A 23158-nucleotide genomic window follows, 5' to 3' on the forward strand; every position below is an offset into this window, starting at 1 on the left:
GGCCGGGCACAGTGGCTGATGCCTGTAATCCCAGCAGTTTGGGAGGCCAAGGCAGGCAGATCACTTGAGGTCAGGAGTTTGAGACCAGCCTAGCCAACATGGTGAAACCCCATCTCTACAAAAAATTTTAAAAATTAGCAGGGTGTGGCAGCGTGTACCTGTAATCCCAGCTACTCGGGAGGCTGAGGCAGGAGAATCGCTTGAACCTCGGAGGTGGAGGCTGCAGTGAGTTGAGATCGTGCCACCTCACTGCAGCCTGGGTGAAAGAGCGAGGCTCTGTCTCAAAAAAAAAAAAAAAAAAAACCAAAAGAACTGGGTTGGTAGTATCTACCTCCCAGGGCCCCTGTAAGGATTAAATGGGATAATGCATATATATGTCTAAAGCCTTAAGCATGTCAAATGCACTTCATGAAGGTAAGTAATAACACAAGTGAATATAAGTTTTTCTGGAAATAATGCAAATAGAAAAGGAGAAAAAGAGGCCGGGCACAGTGGATCACCCCTGTAATCCCAATCCCAGCACTTTGGGAGGCCGAGACGGGCGGATCATCTGAGGTCAAGAGTTCGAGACCAGATTGACCAACATGGTGAAACCCCATCTCTACTAAAAATACAAAATTAGCTGGGCGTGGTGGCGCACGCCTGTAATCCTAGCAACTCTGGAGGCTGAGGCAGGAGAATTGCTTGAACGCGGGAGGCGAAGGTTGCAGTGAGCCAAGATCGCGCCACTGTACTCCAGCCTGGGCAACAAGAGTGAAACTCCATCTCAAAAAAAAAAAAGAAAAGGAGAAAAAGAAAGTTCAAAGACTAGGTTTTCACAAACAGACAATATTAGAAATGCAATGATGAAGGAAAAATGGTGAACAGGAATTCTCAAAAATAAGTACCTGGGGATGGGCTGTCTGGCCAGAAACAGAACTTCTCATGGGCAGTACACAAGGCTTTCTTCAGCTCAGCACATCGTTGCTTATCTGAAATCCACATAAACAGCAACACCTTAAAAAACACTATATAGATTCAAAATCCAATGAATGGCCTCTAAGAGCAGAGATTTAACTAAAAATAAGAGAATTTTAAAATGTGAAAATATTATCAAGTACATAATCTTAATATTTTTCACAAAACAGGTTTTAAATTGAGATCCTAAGATCAACAAAGGAGATACCATGTATCTTATTTTTATTTTTTATTTTTTTGAGACAGAGTCTTGCTCTGTCGCCCAGGCTTGAGTGTAGTGGTGCAATCTCGGCTCATTGCAACCTCCATCTCCCAGGCCCAAGCGATGCTCCTGCCTCAGCCACCTGAGTAGTGTTTTGTATTTTTAGTAGAAATGGGGTTTCACCATGTTAGTCAGGCTGGTCTCAAACTCCCAACCTCATGTGATCCACCCACTTCAGCCTCCCAAAATGCTGGGATTACACACGTGAGCCACTGCGCCCGGCCCCCATGTATCTTATAAAGCAGAGCATTCCAAAGTGTGAGACTTCATAAAAGTCCTTTGTCACTCTTCGTCTAGAAGTATACATTTTGGAATAATAAAGTAAACATGCTGCTGTTACCTAGATTACATTAAGTCAAGTCCATGCTGCAGTAGCTAGCTTAGTTTAAAAAAAAAAAAAAAAAAAAAAAAAAAAAAGGCCGGGCACGGTGGCTCACGCCTGTAATCCCAGCACTTTGGGAGGCTGAGGCGGGTGGATCACAAGGTCAGGAGATCAAGACCATCCTGGCTAACACGGTGAAACCCCGTCTCTACTAAAAATACAAAAAATTAGCCAGGCGTGGTAGCAGGCACCTGTAGTCCCAGCTACTTGGGAGGCTGAGGCAGGAGAATGGTGTGAACCCAGGAGGCGGAGCTTACAGTGAGCCAAGATCGCACCACTGCACTCCATCCAGCCTGGGGGACAGAGCGAGACTCCGTCTCAAAAAAAAAAAAAAAAAAAAAAGACTGGCCAGGCACTATGGCTTACCCCTGTAATCTCTGCACTTTAGGAGGCCAAGGTGGGCGGATCACTTGAGCTCAGGAGTTCAAGACTAGCCTGAGCAACCTGGTAAAACCCCACCTCTACAAAAAAAAAACAAAAATTAGCCAGGTGTAGTGGCACTGCGCCTGTAGTCCCAGCTACTTGGGAGGCTGAGGAAGGATCGCTTGAGCCCAGGAGGTTGAGGCTGTGGTGAGTTGTAATTGCACTATTACATCTTGCTCAGCCTGGGCAACAAGCAAGACCCCATCTCAAAAAAAAAAAAAAAGATTAAAAAAAAAGATTGAAGTACGCATTTTTTGATCAAACTAAAATGACCTTTTTTCCCCCCCCAGAAAACCAGGATAGTATATATTTGAGTGTGGAGAAAAATGTAATTTGTACCTTATACTTACATCTGTCAAAGTCAAAAGCTGGTTGTAAACTGGCACAGAGAAAAGCTTGACAGCTAGAGCACTTGAGCATATCACATTCCACTGTGACCCAGCCATATTTTGCACAGACGAGTGGAGACAGCTCAAAGGGCTTACCTGCCCATTTCAAAGAGTATCCATGTTAAGAAAAACAACACAGCAAATATATATATATATGTGTGTGTATGTGTGTGTGTGTGTGTGTGTGTATACACATACTGTTTTTTTTTTGTTTTTGAGAAAAGTTCTCACTCTGTCTCCCAGGCTGGAGTGCAGTGGCACGATCTAAGCTCACTACAACCTCACCCTCTCAGGTTCAAGCAATTCTCCCACCTCAGCCTCCCAAGTTGCTGGGACCACAGGTGCACGCCACCACACCCAGCTAATTTTTGTATTTTTTGGTAGAGATGGGGTTTCACCATGTTGCTCAGGCTGGTCTTGAACTCCTGAACTCAGATGATCTGCCCACCTTGGCCTCCCAAAGTGCTGGAATCACAGGTGAACACTGCAAGTATATTAAAATGAATAAGTCATAAATTACAATCTTAACTCATTCTTTTTTTTTTTTTTTTTCAAGACAGAGTCTTGCTCTGTCACCCTGGCTGGAGTACAATGGCACAGTCTCGGCTCGGTTTCTGCAACCTCCACTTCCCGGGTTCAAGTGATTCTCCTGCCTCAGCCTCCCGAGTAGCTGGGATTACAGGCATCTGCCACTGCACCCAGCTAATTTTTGTATTTTTAATAGAGATAGGGTTTCATCATCTTGGCCAGGTTGGTCCTGAACTTGTGACCTCGTGATCCACCCACCTCGGCCTCCCAAAGTGCTGCAATTACAGGCGTGAGCCACTGTGCCCGGCCCAACTCATTCTTAATGTATATAGGAATAAACATTAAGGAGAAAGGCAATGAGAAAAGTGGTAAAAACTATTTTTAATGCACAGGCCCATACTTCACAGAATGATGAAGGTCATTTAAGTAATAAGTGGAGGGGAAAAGTTATTAACTTATTCTTGAAGAAGCACTATGTATTTTATGTGTTTAAAATGTTTATTGGCCAAGCACAGTGGCACATGCTTGTAATCTCAGCACATTGGGAGGCTGAAGCGGGAGGATCACTTGAGCTCAGGAGTTGAAGATCAGCCTGGGCAACACGGCGACACCTCATCTCTATTGAAAATCAAAAAATTAGCGGGATGTGGTGGTGCATGCCTGTAGTCTCAGCTAATTGAGAGGCTGAGGGAGGAGGATGGCTTGAGCCCAGGAGATCAAGGCCACAGTAAGATACGATCACACCACTGCCCTCTAGCCTGGGCAACAGAATGAGACCCTGTCTCAAAAAAAAAAAAAAAAAAAGTTTATTATTGGTTGTCTGGTAGAATATAGCATCCATTAATTTTCACTGAATCTGAAATACTAGGAACTTAAAGGCACCAGTGAAAGTACTGGGATATGCCTAAACAATAAGAGATAGTCAAAGTTAAACACACAGAAATATTTTCTGCCATTCACCTATGCTCTCCTACTGTACCCCATCCATTTTTACTTTCCAAAGAATAAAGGCAATAAAATTATCCCTCCAAAATTTGATTGCTAGTATCAATGGGGATGTGTGAGAATGTGTTTTACACAGCTAAAAGCATCTGTAAGTATGTATTTGGAAAGGTATCCTAAAACATTTATTACTCCTTAATATTAAATGCTCAGTTTTTTTGTTTGTTTTGTTTTGTTTTTTGAGATGGAGTCTTGCTCTGTTGCCCAGGCTGGAATGCAATGGCACGAGCTCAGCTCACTGCAACCTCTGCCTCCTGGGTTCAACCGATTCTCCTGCCTCAGCCTCCCGAGTAGCTGGGATTATAGGCGTGCGCCACCATGCCCCACTAATTTTTGTAATTTTAATAGAGAAGGGGTTTTGCCATGTTGGCCAGGCTGGTCTCGAATGCCTGACCTTGAACGCCTGAGGCCCTCCTCGGCCTTCCATGGTGCTGGGATTACAGGTATGAGCCACCTCGCCCAGCTTCAGTTTTTAATAATCTATGTGGGCCGGGTGCGGTGGCCCCAGCACTTTGGGAGGCTGAGACGGGCGGATCACTTGAGGTCAGGAGTTTGAGACCAGCCTGGGCCAACATGGTGAAACCCCATTTCTACTAAAAATACAAAAATCAGCTGGGTGTGGTAGTATGTACCTGTAATCCCAGCTATTGGGGAGGCTGAGGCAGGAGACTCGCTTGAACTTGGGAGGCGGAGGTTGCAGTGAGCTGAGATGGTACCACTGCACTCCAGCCTGGGCAACACAGCAAGATTCTGTCTCAAAAGAAAAATTCTACCTGAAGAGCTCTTATTTCACAAAGCACAGTAAAAAAAAAAGGATAAAATATGAAAGAAGATGCAGGAAAGTTATACATTTTTATAAAGGGATATAGGAATTTGAAAGACATTCCAACATCAGCAAAGGAAGAATGAAGACTGGAAAACAAAATTCAGATACAAATATTAAAGGAGCCATGATTATCTAGAATAAAAGTAATGGTTAAATAAATAATCATCATATCCAAAATGTTGATCAATTTATAGCCAATGAACAAAAAGGAAATGGATCTAAATATTTTATCAAAATCAAGATTTAATGCAAGAAATAATGGTAGAAGGATGGTTAAAATACCTTCCCTTTCCTGAGCAATTCAGTCTTAAAGCCATTAGGCGGTGAACAAGGAAGATGTCAGAGCCAGGAGGCTGCGAAGAGGCAGCTCAGCCCAGGGTGTCAGAACCAAAGTGGTATGTAACAGGCATTCACTTGCGGGCAGCCAAGTGTGGAGTGCTAGGACCTAAATGGGGTGACGAGAGATTCATGCAAGAAAGGATGGCAGCATGGCAGAAATGGGAGATTAAGCACATATAGGGGATTGATCAAAGTAGTAAATATATTAAGGATAACAAATTATGTTTCACAGTGTTGAATATGGGAGGGAAAAATAGGGAAAAGGAGAAAACTAGAATGAATCCTGTGATGTACAATTGCAACTGGAGATGTCAGCAGGAACTCATCGTTTTTTAAAATATAGAGAGAAATGGATGTAAATTTAGATGTGTGTATACATGTGAATGTGTGTGTCTGTGTGTGTGTACATAAACATATATATTTTCTAGCTTTTTCCTCTGAGAGGGCCTGAGAACAGTGGCATCCCACTAGCTATGAGTTCTCCCTGCACCCAGATCTTGGCATTCATTCATGCATTTATATAGAGACAGGATCTTGCTATGTTGCCCAGGCTGGTCTCTCCTGGGCTCAGGCAATTCTCCCACCTGGGCCTCCCAAAGTGCTGGGATTACAGGTGTGCCACCATGCCCAGTTCAGATCTTAGCTTTTAAATAACATTCTCCACTGAAAAACAGCCAAGGATCCTTGTAAAATTGGCTGATTCCAGGGATGGGGCAAGAAAAATACAAGATAAGCCGAGAACAACTTGTTCCTGAAAGCAATAAAGAGGTCATGGGTTATGGGACATGTCAAAAGGCCACAGAAGCCAACCTGAGGGGGATGTCACTGACTAAATAAGGAACAACTGGAGTATCAAAATATATAATGATAGTAATGAATTATAACCCATTGAATAACAAAGAAAATATTGAGTCCATGTTACTACAAATAAATCAATTACATAAAGTTTGATAAGGACTGGGATATTTACAAAGTTTCAAAGAACTTCCCCACAAAGTACTTTTTATTTACAAAGGAGGAAAGAGTTATTTTACAATAGAAATGCCAGATACTCCCTTAATCAAGTGATCAAAGTGATCATCACCATAAAGGGATAAATAGAAATCACGTGTCACCTGACAGGATGCAATGAGAATGCAGCATTGCTTCACGACACTCCTGCATAACCTGAATCTAATCACAAAGAAACATCAAACAAATGTCATTGACATACACTCTACAACATAACTGTTCTGTAATCTTCAAAAGTATCAAGATCATGAAATTCAAGAAAAAACTGAGGAAATGTTCCAGATTAAAGGAGAATAAAGCAACATGACAACTAAATGTACTGTGTGATTCTCAACTGGATACTTCAACTATAAAGAATGTTATTAGTATAACTGATGGAAAAACTGGGGTCTGAGGATTGGAGGGTAGTAATTTATCAATGTCAATTTTCTGATTTTGATGGTTGCATTCTGGTTATGTAGGACAAAGTCCTTGTTTGTAGGAAATATTTGGGAGTAGTAAGACATCACTTTGGTGGCTTACTTTCAAATAGCTCAGGGAAAAAAGGTTCTTTGTAATCTCTGCAACCTTTCTGTAAGTCTGTAATTTAAAAATTTTTAAGAATCACTGTAAAAAATTACCATGTAAGTCTTTCTGTCCTTGCACACAGGGAATAAAGTAGTGAAAAGCAGAAGACGTGGTGTGGTACCACATTTCTTCCGCCTTCAGTCTCTGCTCCTTTCACAGAGCTACCCATCAGTACCATGTTGGCCATGTTGGAGTAGAGTATCCTCAGCTTCACAACCTCTATGGTCTATAGGAGACAAAATGACAGCCCAGAGAAGAATTTGCCATTTTCAGTGGAAAACAAGTGGCAATTACTAATTATGATGACTTGTACTTTGGATCTCATTTGCTGCACTTTCCTTTATAAGACATCAACTGGGCCAGGTGCAGTGGCTCACGCCTGTAATCCCAGCACTTTGGGAGGCTGAGGTGGGTGGATCACCTGATTTCAGGAGTTTGAGACCAGCCTGGCCAACATGGTGAAACTAAAAATACAAAAACTAGCCAGGAATGGTGGTGGGAGCCTGTAATCCCAGGTACTTGGGAGGCTGAGGCAGGAGAATCGCTTGAACCCGGGAGGCAGAGGTTGCAGTAAGCCAAGATCACACCAGTGCACTCCAGCCTGGGTGGCAGAGTAAGACTCCATCTCAAAAAAAAAAAAAAAAAAAAAAGACATCAACGGCTTAAGATGGATGTTTGAGCTCACAATCTCTTTGATACTATGCAGCCATAAAAGGAACGAGATCATGTCCTTTGCAGGGATGTGGATGAAGCTGGAAGCCACTATCCTCAGCAAACTAACACAGGAACAGAAAACCAAACACATGTTCTCACTTATAAGTGGGAGCTGAATGATGAGAACACATGGACACATGAGGGGAACGACATACACTGGGGCCTGTTGGAGGTGGGAGTTGGGGGAGGGAAAGCATCAGGAGGAATAGCTAACAGATGCTGGGCTTAATACCTAGGCAATGGATTGATCTGTGCAGTAAACCACCATGGCACACGTTTACCTATGTAACAAACCCGCACATCCTACACATGTACCCCGGAACTGAAGATAAAAGTTGAAGAAAAAAAGGCCAGGCATGGTGGCTCATGCCTGTAATCTTGGCACTTTGGGAGGCCAAGGCAGGAGGATTGCCTGAGCTCAAAAGTTTGAGACCAGCCTGGGCAACACAGTGAAACCCCATCTCTACTAAAATACAAAAAATTAGCCAGGCATGGTGGCGGGCGCCTGTAATCTCAGCTACTTGGGAGGCTGAGGCAGGAGAATTGCTTAAACCCAGGAGGTGGAGGTTACAGTGAGCCAAGATGGCACCACTGTACTCCAGCCTAGATGACAGAATGAGACTCCATCTCAAAAAAAAAAAAAAGTTGAAGGGAAAAAAGGAAACAAAACAATGGATCAAATTCTTGAAGTCAGGCATATAGCACACTAGGTATGTTTCTAAATAAACTTATGACATAACGTTTAATGTCTCTTCGTGAAACATGCAATGTGATAGCTGGTATGTGCTTACTTTTTCATTTGGGTAATATTCCAGTATAAGTTTTTTTTTGAGACGGAGTCTTCTCTGCCACCCAGGCTGCAGTGCAGTGGCATGGTCTCGGCTCACTGCAACCTCTGCCTCCCAGGTTCAAGCAATTTCTCCTGCCTCAGCCTCCTGAGTAGCTGGGATTACAGGCGCATGCCACCACACCCAGCTAACTGTGCATTCTTTTTTTTCTTTTTGAGATGGAGTCTCATTCCTGTCGCCCAGGCTGGAGTGCAGTGGCATGATCTCGGCTCACTGCAACCTCCGCCTCCCAGGTTCAAGCAATCCTCCTGCCTCAGCCTCCCGAGTCACTGGGACTACAAGCATGTGCCACCATGCCTGGTTAATTTTTGTATTTTTAGTAGAGACAGGGTTTCACCATGTTGGCCAGGCTGGTCTCAAACTCTTGACCTCGTAATCCACTTGCCTCAGCAAACCAAAGTGCTTGGATTACAGGTGTAAGCCACCACGCCCGGCCTAATTTTGTATTTTTAGTAGCGTCAGGGTTTCACCATATTGGCCAGGTTGCTCTCAAACTCCTGACCTCAGGTGATCCGCCCACCTTGGCCTCCTAAAGTGCTAGGATTACAGGCGTAAGCCACCATGCCTAGCCAGTATTAGTTTCTTGATCAAAAAAAGGTGTGTGATTTGGCTTATTTTATGGTCTTAAATTCTGAGATTTTGTTAATTTTTGATTCCTAGGTCAAGACCTTGTTAATAGTTTATAAGACAGAAATTCGGGGCCAGGTTTGGCGGCTCAGGCCTGTACTCCCAACCCTCTGGGAGGCTGTGGCAGCATAATTGCTTGAGGCCAGGAGTTCGAGACCTGCCTGGGCAACATAGCAAGACTTTGTCTACACACACACACACACACACACACACACACACACACACACGGGTAGGGGTGCAAACTTGGCAGGAAAAAAAAGCAGCTGGAGCTACTAAAGACTTCTCTCAAAGCAAGGTGATGTGAACAGCTTTTAAGGTGGCTCCAATGATCCCTGCCTTCTTATATTCATGCCCTTGTGTTATCTGCTCCTCTTGAGTATGGGCTGGCCTAGTGACTTGCTTCTAATGCATAAAATATGACAAAAATGATGAGATGTCACTTTTGAGATTAGATTACAAAATGAGGCTGGCTTGTATCTTGTTCTCTCCTTTGCTCACTCTGATGGAAGTCAGCTGCCAAGTTGTGAACTTTCCTTTAGAGAAGCCCACATAGCAAGGAACCAAGTGGGGAGGGACATCTCTGGCCAATGGCCAGTATAGAACTGAAGCCCTCTGTCCAACAGACACAAGTAAATGAATCCTGCCAACAGTATGCCAATGACTGAGTTTGGAAGTGGACCCTTTCCTAGTTGTTTTTTTTTTTTTTTTTTTTTTTTGACACGGAGTCTTGCTCTGCTGCCAAGGCTGGAATGCAGTGGCGCGATCTCGACTCACTGCAAACTCTGCCTCCTAGGTTCAAGCTATTCTCCTGCCTCAGACTCCTGAGTAGCTGGGATTACAAGTGAGCACCACCACACCTGGCTAATTTTGTTTTGTTTTGTTTTATTTTATTTTATTTTTCTTTTGAGACAATTTTCCTAGTTGAGCCTTGAAATGACAGTGCCCTGACCAACCTTAATTGCAGTCTGTGAGAGACCCTGAGCCAGAGGACTCAGCTAAGCCATGCCTGGATTCCTGATCCACAGAAATTATGAAATAAAAACTGTTTGTTGTTTTAAGATCACTAAGTTTTGGGGCAATTTGCTATGCAGCAATAGGTAGCTAATACACAAAGGAAAATCTAGAAAGAGACATTATAGTAGTGTAGTCTCTAATAATCTAAAAAACATTAGATTATAATCCTGGATCTGCCATTTGCTAACAGGTTCATCTTGGGCAAGTCATATAACCTGCCCCAAACTGTTTCCTCTTCTGTAAAACAAGTATAATAATAATGCTTATTTTCATAGGTTTAAGGTCAAGATCGAATGTGATAATATATACAAAAACATACTATATACAAGTATTAGTTATTATTTCTTCTTTTCTCAGGCTCTTAGTTTTTTCTTCTGTAAAAAGAAAAGGTTAGATAACCTCAACTGTCCCTCTGAGTGATAACATATTAGGATGCTGACTTTCCTATATAATTTCTTACCAAGGTTTTATTCTTAAGTTTAAAGCATCACAGTAAGTGGTGTAATACCTTGGAGGAATTCTAGAAGCAGGCAGAAAGTGCAATTCACATGAACTAAAAAAGGATATAGAAAATGTTTCCACTCTGCTAAAGAAGGCTTCTTTGCTTGTAGATTCCAATGAAGGTTGTTCCGCTTGGGGTGATCCATTAACTGACTGGGATGTGGCAGACGTGTCCTTCCTAATATAAAGTGGCAAAACTGTTGGTAAACCTTTCACAGTACCCTCTGCTTAAATGTTATCTAGCTTCTCTACACATCGTATCATAAATCACACCAACGCTGGATTTTAAGCTTCCTAAAAATCATTTTACTCATGTCATTCCTCAGCTTATTATTTTCAATGGTTTTATAATACTTACTAAATAAAATCCAAATTTTTCAGTCTGGCATTCAAAACTCTTTACAGTTTACCCATATCTAAACTTCAATTTCTACCTCTACAGGGCTCCACTAATCCTAGCAAACTATTCTCCTCACTCACTCACTGTTCTCCACAAGTATTTGGCATAACTTTAGTAGACAGAAAATAAGACTCAAGACTTCAAGTATGCATTATACAATTTGAATCTCTTCAGAAATTCGACTTTTTTTTTTTTTGAGATGGAGTCTCGCTCTGTTGCCCAGGCTGGAGTGCAACGGTGCGATCTCGGCTCACTGCAACCTCCACCTCCCAGGTTCAAGCAATTCTCCTGCCTCGGCCTCCCCAGTAGCTGGGATTACAGGCGCGTACCACCAGGCGTGGGCCCGGCTAATTTTTTGTATCTTTAGGACAGACGGGGTTTCACCATGTTGGTCAGGCTGGTCTGTAACTCCTGACTTTGTGATTGGCCCACCTCAGCCTCCCAAAGTGCTGGGATTACAGGCGTGAGCCACAGCGCCTGGCAGAAATTCGACTCTTAACAGCAGAAAAAACAATTTTGATATTTCTACCTGGAGGGACCTTTCATACCCACTCCTTCCAAAAAAAAAAGAACCAATTAGAAAATTCGAATCAAAGATCTTCGGGAGATTTCATGAAAAAAAAATCAGGGAGAAAAAAACTCAGCAAAGCAATTCTCTCATTTTCAGTGGAAGGCATTTCAACAGTGCCTGGGGAATTGCTGAAAGACAAGCATTTATTTATTTATTTAGAGACGGAGTCTCACTCTGTCACTCAGGCTGGAGTGCAGTGACGCGATCTCGGCTCACTGCAACCTCCGCCTCCCAGGTTCAACCAATTCTCCTGCCTCAGCCTCCCGAGTAGCTGGGACTACAGGCGCGGGCCACCACGCCCGGCTAATTTTTTGTATTTTTAGTAGAGATGGGGTTTCACCGTGTTAGCCAGGATGGTCTTGATCTCCTGACCTCGTGATCTGCCCGCTTCAGCCTCCTCAAAGTGCTGGGATTATAGGCGTGAGCCACCGCGCCCGGCGACAGGCATTATTTTAATAAAAATAGGATTACATCAACGATTATAGCTCAAAAGAAATAAACTTACTCTAAGACTCTCAGAGATTCATAGAGAGCCTCAAGCGGGTGTGGTTCTAGGCCAAAAAAAATTCACAGCATCCATAAACTTGGATGGGTAAAAATGACATTTATTTCTCTCTAAATGACAAGATTTAGCATTTTCTTCAATTATGAATGAAGGTAAAAACACCATAGTAGTATTAGCAGTACCTGCTAATTTGTCACCAATGGAAATAATGTTCCCACATTATGGTGGTTGCATGTCTTCAAATACCTTTGTGCTCATCACTACTTCAAAATTATGGTTGACAACACATACTACTAGATATTATGGACTCTTTAATAAAAAGCATTGTTACTGCGTAACTTTTTCCTTTTACCATCTTGATAACTACATTCCAATCTAACTGGTTTCCTTTATAATCCTATGTAATTTACTTTAAGCATTTAAAAATATTCTGAGAGTTAATAAGCTTCTCCAGAGAGCCAAAGGGGTCCACGGCACAAAAAAAGGTTAAGAATCCCCAATTAAGAGAAGTCAAGTGAACTCATTCAGTTAACGGTCCTCTTTACTTCCAAAAATAATGTCCGATGACAAAATTTCGGCTGCGGTTGGGAATCTGGTACACCCCGAGGGGAAGATCAAAGCCGATCAAACATAGTAACCAGAGTTTCTTTCAGATTCTAAGAAGCCATCCCCACTGCCCGAGTCGCCGACCGAGGGGAACCTCCCCCAACCCGCCACCCCTTCCCCAAGCCTTCTTCAATCTTCCAACGCCGGACCCAGGGTTAACTCGTGAACTCACGCGTCCACGCCTCCCTCTTCCGGGGCAATCCCCTCATCTATCAGCTGCCGGATTTTCTGGGGGGTCCCTTCTGGGGAGCGAACTACTGCACCCCAATTCTTTTCAACCCCTACGGCAAACGCTTGTCCCTCACAGGGCGCCGCCATCTTGGTCCGCTGCCGAGTTGCTTCCCCGAGAGTTTGAAGGCTCCGGAACTTCCGTCCTGGGAGGTTAATATCCGCCTCTTGAGGCAGCCTGGCTGGGAAAGTCTAACCGCGGGGCCCACGCCTTTTCTCATCATTTTAGAACCTTAGAGCGAGCTTAAGGAGGGCTGTACTGTTTAGGACAATCTTGATTAATCGTTTCCTTTATCAACTAGCATATTTAGGTTGATAAGAGATTTTTAGAACGCTGTCAGTCCAAATTCAGCAGGGATGAGGGGCTCAACTTAATTTTCAAGTAATATTAACTAATACGGCCGGGCGCCGTGGCTCATGCCTGTAATCCCAGCGGTTTGGGAGGCCGAGGTGGGCGGATCGCCTGAGGTCAGGAGTTCGAGACCAGCCTGGCCAACATGGTGAAACCCCATCTCTACCAAAAATACAAAAATTAGCTGGACTTGCTGGCGGGCGCCTGTAATCCCAGCTACTAGGGAGGCTGAGGTAGGAGAATCGCTTGAACCCGGGAGGCGGAGGTTGCAGTGAGCCGAGATTGCGCCACTGCACTCCAGCCTGGGCGACAAGAGCAAAACTCCGACTCAAAAAAAATAAAAATAAAAATAAATTAACTCATACGACCCTCCTAAGTTGCACCTTTCTACAAGCGAGGAAATGGTGACCCTCATTGGAGAGCAAATAATTTAGAATCCTTGTTGGAAACCGTGTTATGGATGGATTTAGAAGTCTGTGGCATTTGACACTATTGATACTCCTTCCTTAGTCCAACAAATATTTATTGAAAACGTCCTATTTATTTTTTTTGAGATGGAGTTTCGCTCTTGTTGCTCAGGCTGCAGTGCAATGGCGCGATCTCGGCTCACTGCAACCTCTGCCTCCCGGGTTCAAGCGATTCTCCTACGTCAGCCTTCCGAGCAGCTGGGATTACAGGCATTCGCCAACACGCCCAGCAATTTTTTTTTTTTTTTTTTGTATTTTTAGTAGGGACGGGATTTCACCATGTTGGTCAGGCTAGCCTTGAACTCCTGACCTCAGGTGATCCGCCCGCCTCGGCCTCCCAAAGTGTTGGGATTACAGGCATGAGCCACCGCGCCCGGCCGAAAGCATCCTATTGATAGTCTCTAGGCACTAGCAATGACAGTCGTGAGCAAAGAAGCTGTAGATCTTGGTGGAGTTAGATGTCAAATTTTCCTATAGTTTTAAAATTATGATTACAAGTGCTCCAAGGATGTACCAAGGTTATAATAGGAGAATCTAATTTAGTTTGCACATTCTCCTGAGAAAAATCAGGTACTGGAGCTGAGACGGATGAGATTGAAGGGAAGAAATCTGTACAGAATCTTCCAACACCCCAGGTTGGAAGACTGATGTGACTAAACAATGGGCAAAGAGGAAAGTGGGATCACCTCCTACCCTTCCAGCACCCTACCTGTGGGCTCCTAACTCTATCAGTGTTCCCAGCAGCAGGACCTGCAACCTATTGATCCAATTACCTTTCTGCTCTTCCTAACTCCACCACCACCCTTGTTTCTTCTTTTCTTAGCCAGCTTAAATTCATTACTAATTGTTATCATCATCCCTTTGCAAAATTTGAACATGGGTTGAGACTTAGTTAATATGAAGGAAACATTGTTGATTTCACTATATGTAATAATGGCATTGTAGTTATGGTTCTTAAAAGCCCTTCTTTATTAGAAATGCATCTTGAAGTGTTTATAGGTGAATTGATATGATGTTTGGAATTTGCTTTGAAGTTATCCAGGAAAACATGTGGAGGAATAGATGAAAAAATATTGCAAAATTTTAAACTGTCGGACTTGGATGATAGAATTGTGGGATTCATTATATTATTCTTTCTGCTATTAAGTATGTTTGACAATATCATAATAAAAAGCAAAATAAATAAGCTAAAAAATACATGTTCTTGAATACCCTTTGAATTTCCTTGAACCTCTCTTGCTTAATAGTACTTACTTGACAAAACCTCAATCACAGTTGAAGTAAGTTCTCTATTATTGCTTCTGTACCCATACAACTAAATATGGCTAAAGAGAAATGACAAACTTGTCTCTTTATATTCTTGACTTCAAGTGGGACCTTAATTCTGCCCAGTAATTATACTACCTTTATCTAGTCCACTTCTCATCCCACTTTTCATAGATGACTTATTTTTATTTTTTATTTTTTTAAATTTATTTTTTATTTTTATTTTGATTTTTTTGCAGACGGAGTCTCCCTCTGCTGCCTGCTGGAGTGCAGTGGCACAATCTCGGCTCATTGCAACCTCTGCCTCCTGGGTTCAAGCGATTCTCCTTCCTCAGCCTCCTGAGTAGCTAGGATTACAGGCACCTGCCACCATGCTTGGCTAATTTGTCATATTTTTAGTAGAGACGGGGTTTTACCATGTTGGCCAGGCTGGTCTTGAATTCCTGACCTCAGGTGATCCGCCCACCTTGGCCTCCCAAAGTGCTGGGATTACAGGCGTGAGCCACCATGCCTGGCCACCTGGCTAATTTTTATATTTTTAGTAGAGACAGGGTTTCACCACATTCACCAGGCTGGTCTCGAACTCCTGACCTCAAGTGATCTGCCCACCTCGTCCTCCCAAAGTGTTAGGATTACAGGTGTGAGCCACTGCACCCACCTTCATAGATGACTATTATATACCTCTCTCCTCAAACACCTTCAATACTTCCACTTATCCATCCTCCCTTTCTGCTAATGACACACTCCTAGGAAAATACTGACTGTACAGTTAGCCATGGTAACAACCAGCAATCAGAGCCAGTTTTAAGTTCAATTGACCCATGATTACTCATCACAGTGAATGTGTTTTTGTAAACCCAATGAATGACAACTTCTTGATTCAGCCAATCACAAAGACTCACTTCAATAAGCACTCCTCTGAGTGCCAGCCACTCAACAATAGTTTCACCCAAGTTATCACTTCTACAAATGATGCTAACACACACCTTTGAAAGTTTGCCAATCTCTGAACTCCCCACTTTCTCAAAGTCTGATAGATTAGTAGTCTGGTCTGCTTGAAGACTGTGCCTCACCTGCATGGCTCTTACTGTTTATAGTAAGCAAGAAATTTGGCTTTGTGGTTTTTTTTTTTTTTTTTTTTTGAGACGGAGCCTTCCTCTGTCGCCCAGGCTGGAGTGCAGTGGCGCATCTCGGCTCACTGTAAGCTCCGCCTCCCGGGTTCACCCCATTCTGTGGCCTCAGCCTCCTGAGTAGCTGGGACTACAGGCACCCGCCACCACGCATGGCTAATTTTTTGTATTTTTTTAGTAGAGACGGGGTTTCACTGTGTTAGCCAGGATGGTCTCAATCTCCTGACCTCGTGATTTGCCTGCCTCAGCCTCCCAAAGTGTTGGGATTACAGGCATGAGCCACTGTGCCCGGCCGGCTTTGTGTTTTTATTTCGCATGATGAATGGTGTTCTCATCATCCTCTAACCGTACTTTACCTTCCCTCCTGTTACTATTGATCAGTGGTTCTCAAATGAGTGTGATATTGCCTGCCACAGGACACTTGGCAATGTCAGGAGACATTTTTGGTTGGAGTGGTGATAGAGGCCAGGAATGTTGCTAAGCATTTTACAACATCCAGAACAGCCTCGCCACAACAAAAAATTATCTCACCCAATATGTGCACAGGTTGAGAAGCCCTGCTGTAATCTATGTGCCTATCTAAGGCCAAACTTACACATTGGATCTAATTCCCCTTGCCTACTCAAGAACATTGTCCACCAATTCTCCCCTCCACTGCACATTTCCATTAGCAGCAAGATATTACTTCTCCCATCTTAAAAACATGCAAAACAGGCCAGGTGCACTGGCTTATGCCTGTAATTCCAGCACTTTGGGAGGCCAAGGGGGGCAGATCACCTGAGGTCAGGAGTTCAAGACCAGCCTGGCCAAAATGGCGAAACCCTGTCTCTACTAAAAATATAAAAATTAGCTGGGCGTGGTGGCATGCACCTGTAGTCCCACCTACTTGGGAGGCTGAGGCATGAGAATCGCTTGAATCCAGGAGGTGGAGGTTGCGGTGAGACGAGGTGGTGCCGCTGAACTCCACACTCCAGCCTGGGCAACAGAGCAAGACTCTATTTCAGAAAACAAGAAAACACCTTCTCTGCTTTTATTTACGGCAAAGGTCCTTCAAAAATTATCTATCCTAGCGCTGGGTGCAGTGGCTCACCTCTTTAATCCCAGCACTTTGGGAGGCTGAGGTGGGTGGATCACTTGAGGTCAGAAATTCGAGACCAGCCTGGCCAACATGATGAAACCCTGTCTCTATTAAAAATACAAAAAAAAAAAAAATTAGCTGAGTGTGGTGGCACGCACCTGTAATCCCAGCTGCTTTGGAGGCTGAGGCAGGTGAATCACTTGAACCTGGGAGGTGGGGTTGCAGTGAGCTAAGATTGTGCCACTGCACTCCAGCCTGGGCCACAGCATGAGACTCCGTCTCAAAAAAAAAAAAAAAAGAGGCCTTTGGCCAGGCATGGTGGCTCACGCCTGTAATCCCAGCATTTTGGGAGGCCGAGACGGGTGGATCATTTGAGGTCAGGAGTTCAAGACCAGCCTGGCCAACATGGTGAAACCCTGTCTCTACCAAAAATTACAAAAATTAGCCGGGTATGGTGGCAGGCGCCTATAATCCCAGCTACTCGGGAGGCTGAGGCAGGAGAATTGCTTGAATCCAAAAGGCGGAGGTTGCAGTGGGCTGAGATTGCACCATTGCACTCCAGACTGGGCGACAAGAGTGAAGCTCCATCTAAAAATGACAGAGAGAAAGAGAGAGAGAGAGAGAGAAGAAGGAAGGAAGAAAGAGGGGCTTTTATACTTTTTATTCATTGCTGTGTCCCCAGTCTTTACAATACCTCATGGACATAGTAGACTCTCAATAAATAATTGTTCAATTAATGTACACAAATTTCCAAAGAATTTGGACTTTATCCTAAAAGCCAACGGCAGCCATTGAAAGACTTTAAGTGGCACGGTGACATGAACAATTGTGCATTTTGGGAAAAGTCACTATAAAGACTGTGAAAAATGGATTGGAGCCAAAAGAGGATATGGAGTGACTGTTAGGAAGTTGCTGATAAAGCCTTGGCAGAACAGAGGCAATGGTGGGTAAGGCTGGGGTGAAGACAGCTGGAAGCGAGCAGATACAAGATGTAGTTTGGAATTAGAAACAACAGGACTTGGTGATGGCTTGTACATGACAGGTGAGGAGTAGTTTTTTTCTGTTTGTTTGTTTTTGTTTGTTTGTTTTTTTGAGGCGGAGTCTCGCTCCGTCACCCAGGCTGGAATGCAGTGGCGCGATCTCGGCTCACTGCAAGCTCCGCCTCCCGGGTTCACGCCATTCTCCTGCCTCAGCCTCCCAAGTAGCTGGGACTACAGGTGCCCGCCACCACGCCCGGCTAATTTTTTTGTGTTTTTAGTAGAGACGGGGTTTCACCATGTTAGCCAGGATGGTCTCAATCTCCTGACCTCGTGATCCGCCTGCCTCAGCCTCCCAAAGTGCTGGGATTACAGGCGTGAGGCACTGCGCCTGGCCAGGAGTAGGTTTTAAGGGGAACTCCAGGCCTGAACAACTGATTGATAGATATATCAGTCAGCCCTCCATATTCATGGGTCCTGCATCCATGGATTCAACCAACTATGGACAGATGTTTCTTTTTCTTTTTCTTTTTTCTTTTTTTTTTTTTTTGAGACAGTGTCTCACTCTGTCCCCCAGGCTGGAGTGCAGTGGCGTGATCAGAGCTCACTGCAGCCTCATATCCCTGGGCTCAAGCAATCCTCCTGCCTCAGCCTCCTGAGTAGCTGGGACCACAGGCTTATGCCACCACTCCCAACTAATTTTTAAAAATAAGTTTTGGTAGAAATGTTGCCCAGGCTGGTCTCAAACTCGTGGGCTCAAGCAATCCTCCTGCTTCAGCCTCCCAAAGTTCTTGGATTACGGGCATGAGCCACCTTATCTGGCCTAGAAAAAAAAAAATATATATATATATTTTATAAATATATATATAAATATATATAAATATAAATATATATTATAAATATATATTATAAATATATATATTTATATATTTATAATATATTTATATATAAATATATATAATATTATATTTATATATATATAATTATATATAATATATATTTATATATATTATATATAATATTATATAATTATATATAATATTATATATTAATATATAATTATATATAATATTTATTATATATAATTATATATAATATATAAATATATTAATATATAATTTATAATATATAAATATATTAATATATAATTTATAATATATAAATATATTAATATATAATTTATAATATATAAATATATTAATATATAATTTATAATATATAAATATATTAATATATAATTTATAATATATAAATATATTAATATATAATTTATAATATATAAACATATATAATATATAAATATATTTTATATATTATATATTATAAATATATATTATATATTTATAATATATATATTTATATTTATAAATATATATATTTATAATATATATATTTATATTATAAATATATATATTTATAATATATAATATATATTTATATATTTAAATATATATTTATATTTAAATACATATTTATATATAAATATATTAATATATTAAAAATATATTAATATATTTAAATATATATTTATATATTATAAATATATATATATAATTTATTTATTTATTTTGAGACAGAGTCTCGCTTTGTTGCCCTAGCTGGAGTGCAATGGGGCAATCTCAGCTCACTGCAACCTCCACCTTCTGGGTTCAAGTGATTGTCCTGCCTCAACCTCCCAAGTAGCTGGGATTACAGGTGCCTGCCACCACTCCCGTTTAATTTTTGTATTTTTCAGTAGAGGCAGGGTTTCGCCATGTTTACCAGACTAGTCTTGAGCTCCTGACCTCAGATGATCCGCCCACCTTGGCCTCCCAAAGTGCTGGAATTACAGGCATGAGCCACCAAGCCTAGCCTAGAAAAAATATATATGTATATATATTTTTGAGATGCCTGCCTCGGCCTCCCAAAGTGCTGGTATTACAGGCGTGAGGCACTGCACCCAGCCTTGAAAATATTTTTTTAATGGATGGTTACATCAGTATTGAACATGTACCGGCTTTTTTCCTTGTTGTTCTTTTAACAATACAGTATAACAACTATTTATATAGCATTTACATTGTATCAGGTATTATAAATAATCTAGAGATGACTTAACTGATACACATATGGAAGTATGTGTATAGGTTATATGCAAATTTTATGTAATGGACTTGAGCATCTGTAGATGTTGGTATTGAAGAGGAGTCCTGAACTAATCCCCTGAGGATATACAGCGACAACTATATGTATATTGATGTAATAGATATTTATTTATTTATATCTATTATGTATAATGTATATATATATATATATATATAGTGTGTGTGTGTGTGTGTGTGTGTGTGTGTGTGTGATATTTCAGTTTTTTTCCCCTTAATACTCCAGCATCTGGCATATAGTAGATGTTCCGAATATGTCAATTTTTTTTTTTGAGAGAGAGTCCTTGCTCCGTTGCCAGGCCGGAGTGCAGTGGTGCGATCTCGGCTCACTGCAACCTCTGCCTCCCGGGTTCAAGTGATTCTCCTGCCTCAGCCTCCCGAGTAGCTGGGACTACAGGTGCATGCCACCACGCCCAGCTAATTTTTGTATTTTTAGTAGAGACGGGGTTTCACCATGTTGGCCAGGATGGTCTCGATCATTAGACCTCATGATCTGCCCGCCTTGGCCTCCCAGAGTGCTGGGATTACAGGTGTCAGCCACCATGCCCAGCCAGAAGATGTCAATTTTAAGACAGGAATCAATAAACACTTGGAAAATTTCCAAGTTTCAGATAGTCACTTGCCCAGTGTGATGTGAAGAAAAGAGTTTTGGAGAGAGAGATGGTCTCTTATTCTGCTTCCATCACTAGCCATGTGGCCTTGGGGTCAAATAACTTCTGGATATGAGATTAAATGAAAGAATGTATATGAAAATGTTTGATACGTAGTAGGTTCTTGGTAAGTGCTAGTTTTCTTCCTAAGCATTTTAGTGACCATTACCTCACCTTCTTTCAGGAAGGAAGAACTAATCTCCCCAGCCGCTGGGCATACCAGCAGCAGGAAGCCCTACTGTCCTTGGCTGTCATCTCCTTTGATAGCTACTTCATTGAAGGAAGCCCTTTCTCCTGAGGTCACCTCCACTCCCTTCCTCAGGGCATCCAGTAACTAATCCAGACAGTTATAAAAGGCCCAGCTCCGTGTCCCAACTCAGGACAATGCTAAAGGGCCATCCAGCCTCAGGGTTTCCTGGAGGGTCTCCCTTGAGACTGCATCATAGCCCAGCTCCTCCCCCTGCCCAGATCAGCTTCCTTCCCGTCCTTTTGACCCCAAGAATCCTCCCCAAAAACCTCCTGCATGCTAATCTCCCTCTCAGGAGCTGCTTATCCATTTTGTTTATCCTGGGGAAGTAGACAGTTCTGCCGATTGCTCCAGCTGTCAGACTGTCTTTATTGTATGTATGGTGTTTTGTTTTGTTTTGTTTTGTTTTGAGGCGGAGTCTCACTCTGTCTGTCACCAGGCTAGAGTGCAGTGGCGGGATCTCAGCTCACTGCAACCTCTGCCTCCTGGGTTCAAGCAATTCTCCTGCCTCAGCCTCCCGAGTATCTGGGACCACAGGTACAGACCACCATGCCCAGCTAATTTTGTATTTTTAGTAGAGATGGGGTTTCACCATGTTGGCCAGGATGGTATCTTTCCCCTGACCTCGTGATCTGCCCGCCTCGGCCTCCCAAAGTGTTGAGATTACAGGTGTGAGCCACTGTGCCCAGCCGTATGTATTTTTTTGGTTTTTATGGTTTTTTTTGAGACGGAGTCTCACTCTGTTGCCCAGGCTGGAGTGCAGTGGCACTATCTCGGCTCACTGCAAGCTCCGCCTCCCGGGTTCACCCCATTTTCCCACCTCAGCCTCCATAGTAGCTGGGACTACAGGCACCCGCCACCATGTCCGGCTAATTTTTTGTATTTTTTTTTTTAGTAGAGAAGGGGTTTCACCGTGTTAGCCAGGATGGTCTTGATCTCCTGACCTTGTGATCCGCCCACCTCAGCCTTCCAAAGTGTTGGGATTACAGGCGTGAGCCACCATGCCCGGCCAGCTGTATGTATGGTTTTTAATGTGAGAACACACAAACATTCGGCCAGGTGTGGTGGCCCATGCCCGTAATCCCAGCACTTTGGGAGGCCGAGGCAGGCGGGTCACTTGAGGTCAGGAGTTTGAGACCAGCCTGGCCAACATGGTCAAAGCCTGCCTCTACTAAAAATACAAAAATTAGCTGGGCATGGTGGCACACACCTGTAATCCCAGCTCCTTGGGAGGCTGAGGCATGAGAATTGCTTGAAACTGAGAGGCAGAGGTTGCAGCGAGCTGAGATCGCACCTCTACACTCCAGCCTGGGTGACAGAGCAAGACTCTGTCTAAAAAAAAACACACACACACAAATTTAAGCTGATAAGCTTTTACTACTTCATAGGACCTCTCCTCTTAGAAATTAATCAAACATATTATATTTGCGAGTATAATTTTTTCATGAAATAGAAAAATGTGTCAACTAGCAAAATTTAGCCAGGAGCTGTGGCTCACATCTGTAATCCCAGCACTTTGGGAATCCTAGGTGGGTGGATAGCTTGAGGCCTGAAGTTTGAGACCAGCCTGGGCAACATGGTGAAACCCTGTCTCTACAAAAAATTTAAAAATTAGCCAGACTTGGTGGTGTGCACCTGTAGTCCCAGCTACTCAGGAGGCTGACACAGAAGGATCGCTTGAGCCCTGGAGGTCAAGACTGCAGTGAGCCACGACTGCCTCACTGATTTCTAGACAGTGTCAGAGTGAGACCCTGTCTCAAAAATAGAAAAAAAAGCAAAATTTTTATTTTTAGTGAAAATTTAATTTATATAAAACATGACACAGGTTTTTAAGTGAATACACATTTATCAGACATTTTCATTTCTTTTTTTCTTTTTTGAGATGGAGTCTTGCTGTCACCCAGGCTTGAGTGTAGTGGCATGATCTCAGCTCACTACACCCTCCACCTCCTGGGTTCATGCAATTCTCAGGCCTCAGCCTCCCCAGTAGCTGGGACTACAGGTGTGTGCCATCACGCCTGGCTAATTTTTTCGTATTTTTAGTAGAGACGAAGTTTCACCATGTTGGCGAGGCTGGTCTTGAACTCCTGACCTTAAGTGATCCACCCGCCTCACCCTCCCAAGGTGCTGGAAATACAGGCATGAGCCACTGT

At 42.8% G+C, this 23158-nt stretch overlaps 1 protein-coding gene across 9 annotated transcripts in view, besides 3 other annotated features; it reads right to left on the reverse strand.

The window, feature by feature from the left end:
- ZC3HC1 (zinc finger C3HC-type containing 1) overlaps positions 1–12875 on the reverse strand; it is a 33166-nt gene extending 20291 nt beyond the window's left edge. For 2 of the 9 annotated variants that reach the window (XM_047420453.1, XM_011516288.4), the window contains exons 1-3: positions 12645–12809; positions 10398–10568; positions 888–971 (exon numbers count right to left, since the gene is read on the reverse strand). In XM_047420453.1, the coding sequence (XP_047276409.1) occupies positions 888–971; positions 10398–10568; positions 12645–12681 (292 nt within the window). In that variant the 5' untranslated portion in view covers positions 12682–12809. Of the gene's footprint in view, positions 1–887; positions 972–2374; positions 2526–5051; positions 7334–10397; positions 10569–11866; positions 11913–12644 lie in introns of those variants that run through there. The other 7 variants (XM_047420454.1, XM_005250403.4, NM_001282190.2 and 4 more) reach the window with 6 other exon arrangements.
- Positions 12132–12924: an enhancer, noted in NCBI's record as "H3K27ac-H3K4me1 hESC enhancer chr7:129690548-129691340 (GRCh37/hg19 assembly coordinates)". NCBI's record gives its function as "activates a minimal SCP1, AML or CMV promoter by ChIP-STARR-seq in primed H9 embryonic stem cells {active_cell/tissue: H9 hESC(primed)}" and the evidence as "EXISTENCE:reporter gene assay evidence [ECO:0000049][PMID:30033119]".
- Positions 12552–12861: an enhancer, noted in NCBI's record as "active region_26641". NCBI's record gives its function as "activates an Ori minimal core promoter by ATAC-STARR-seq in GM12878 lymphoblastoid cells {active_cell/tissue: GM12878}" and the evidence as "EXISTENCE:reporter gene assay evidence [ECO:0000049][PMID:35858748]".
- Positions 12922–13111: an enhancer, noted in NCBI's record as "active region_26642". NCBI's record gives its function as "activates an Ori minimal core promoter by ATAC-STARR-seq in GM12878 lymphoblastoid cells {active_cell/tissue: GM12878}" and the evidence as "EXISTENCE:reporter gene assay evidence [ECO:0000049][PMID:35858748]".

The sequence above is a fragment of the Homo sapiens genome, chromosome 7, assembly GCF_000001405.40.
Source record: "Homo sapiens chromosome 7, GRCh38.p14 Primary Assembly".
In the NCBI taxonomy this organism is placed as follows: Eukaryota; Metazoa; Chordata; class Mammalia; order Primates; family Hominidae; genus Homo; species Homo sapiens.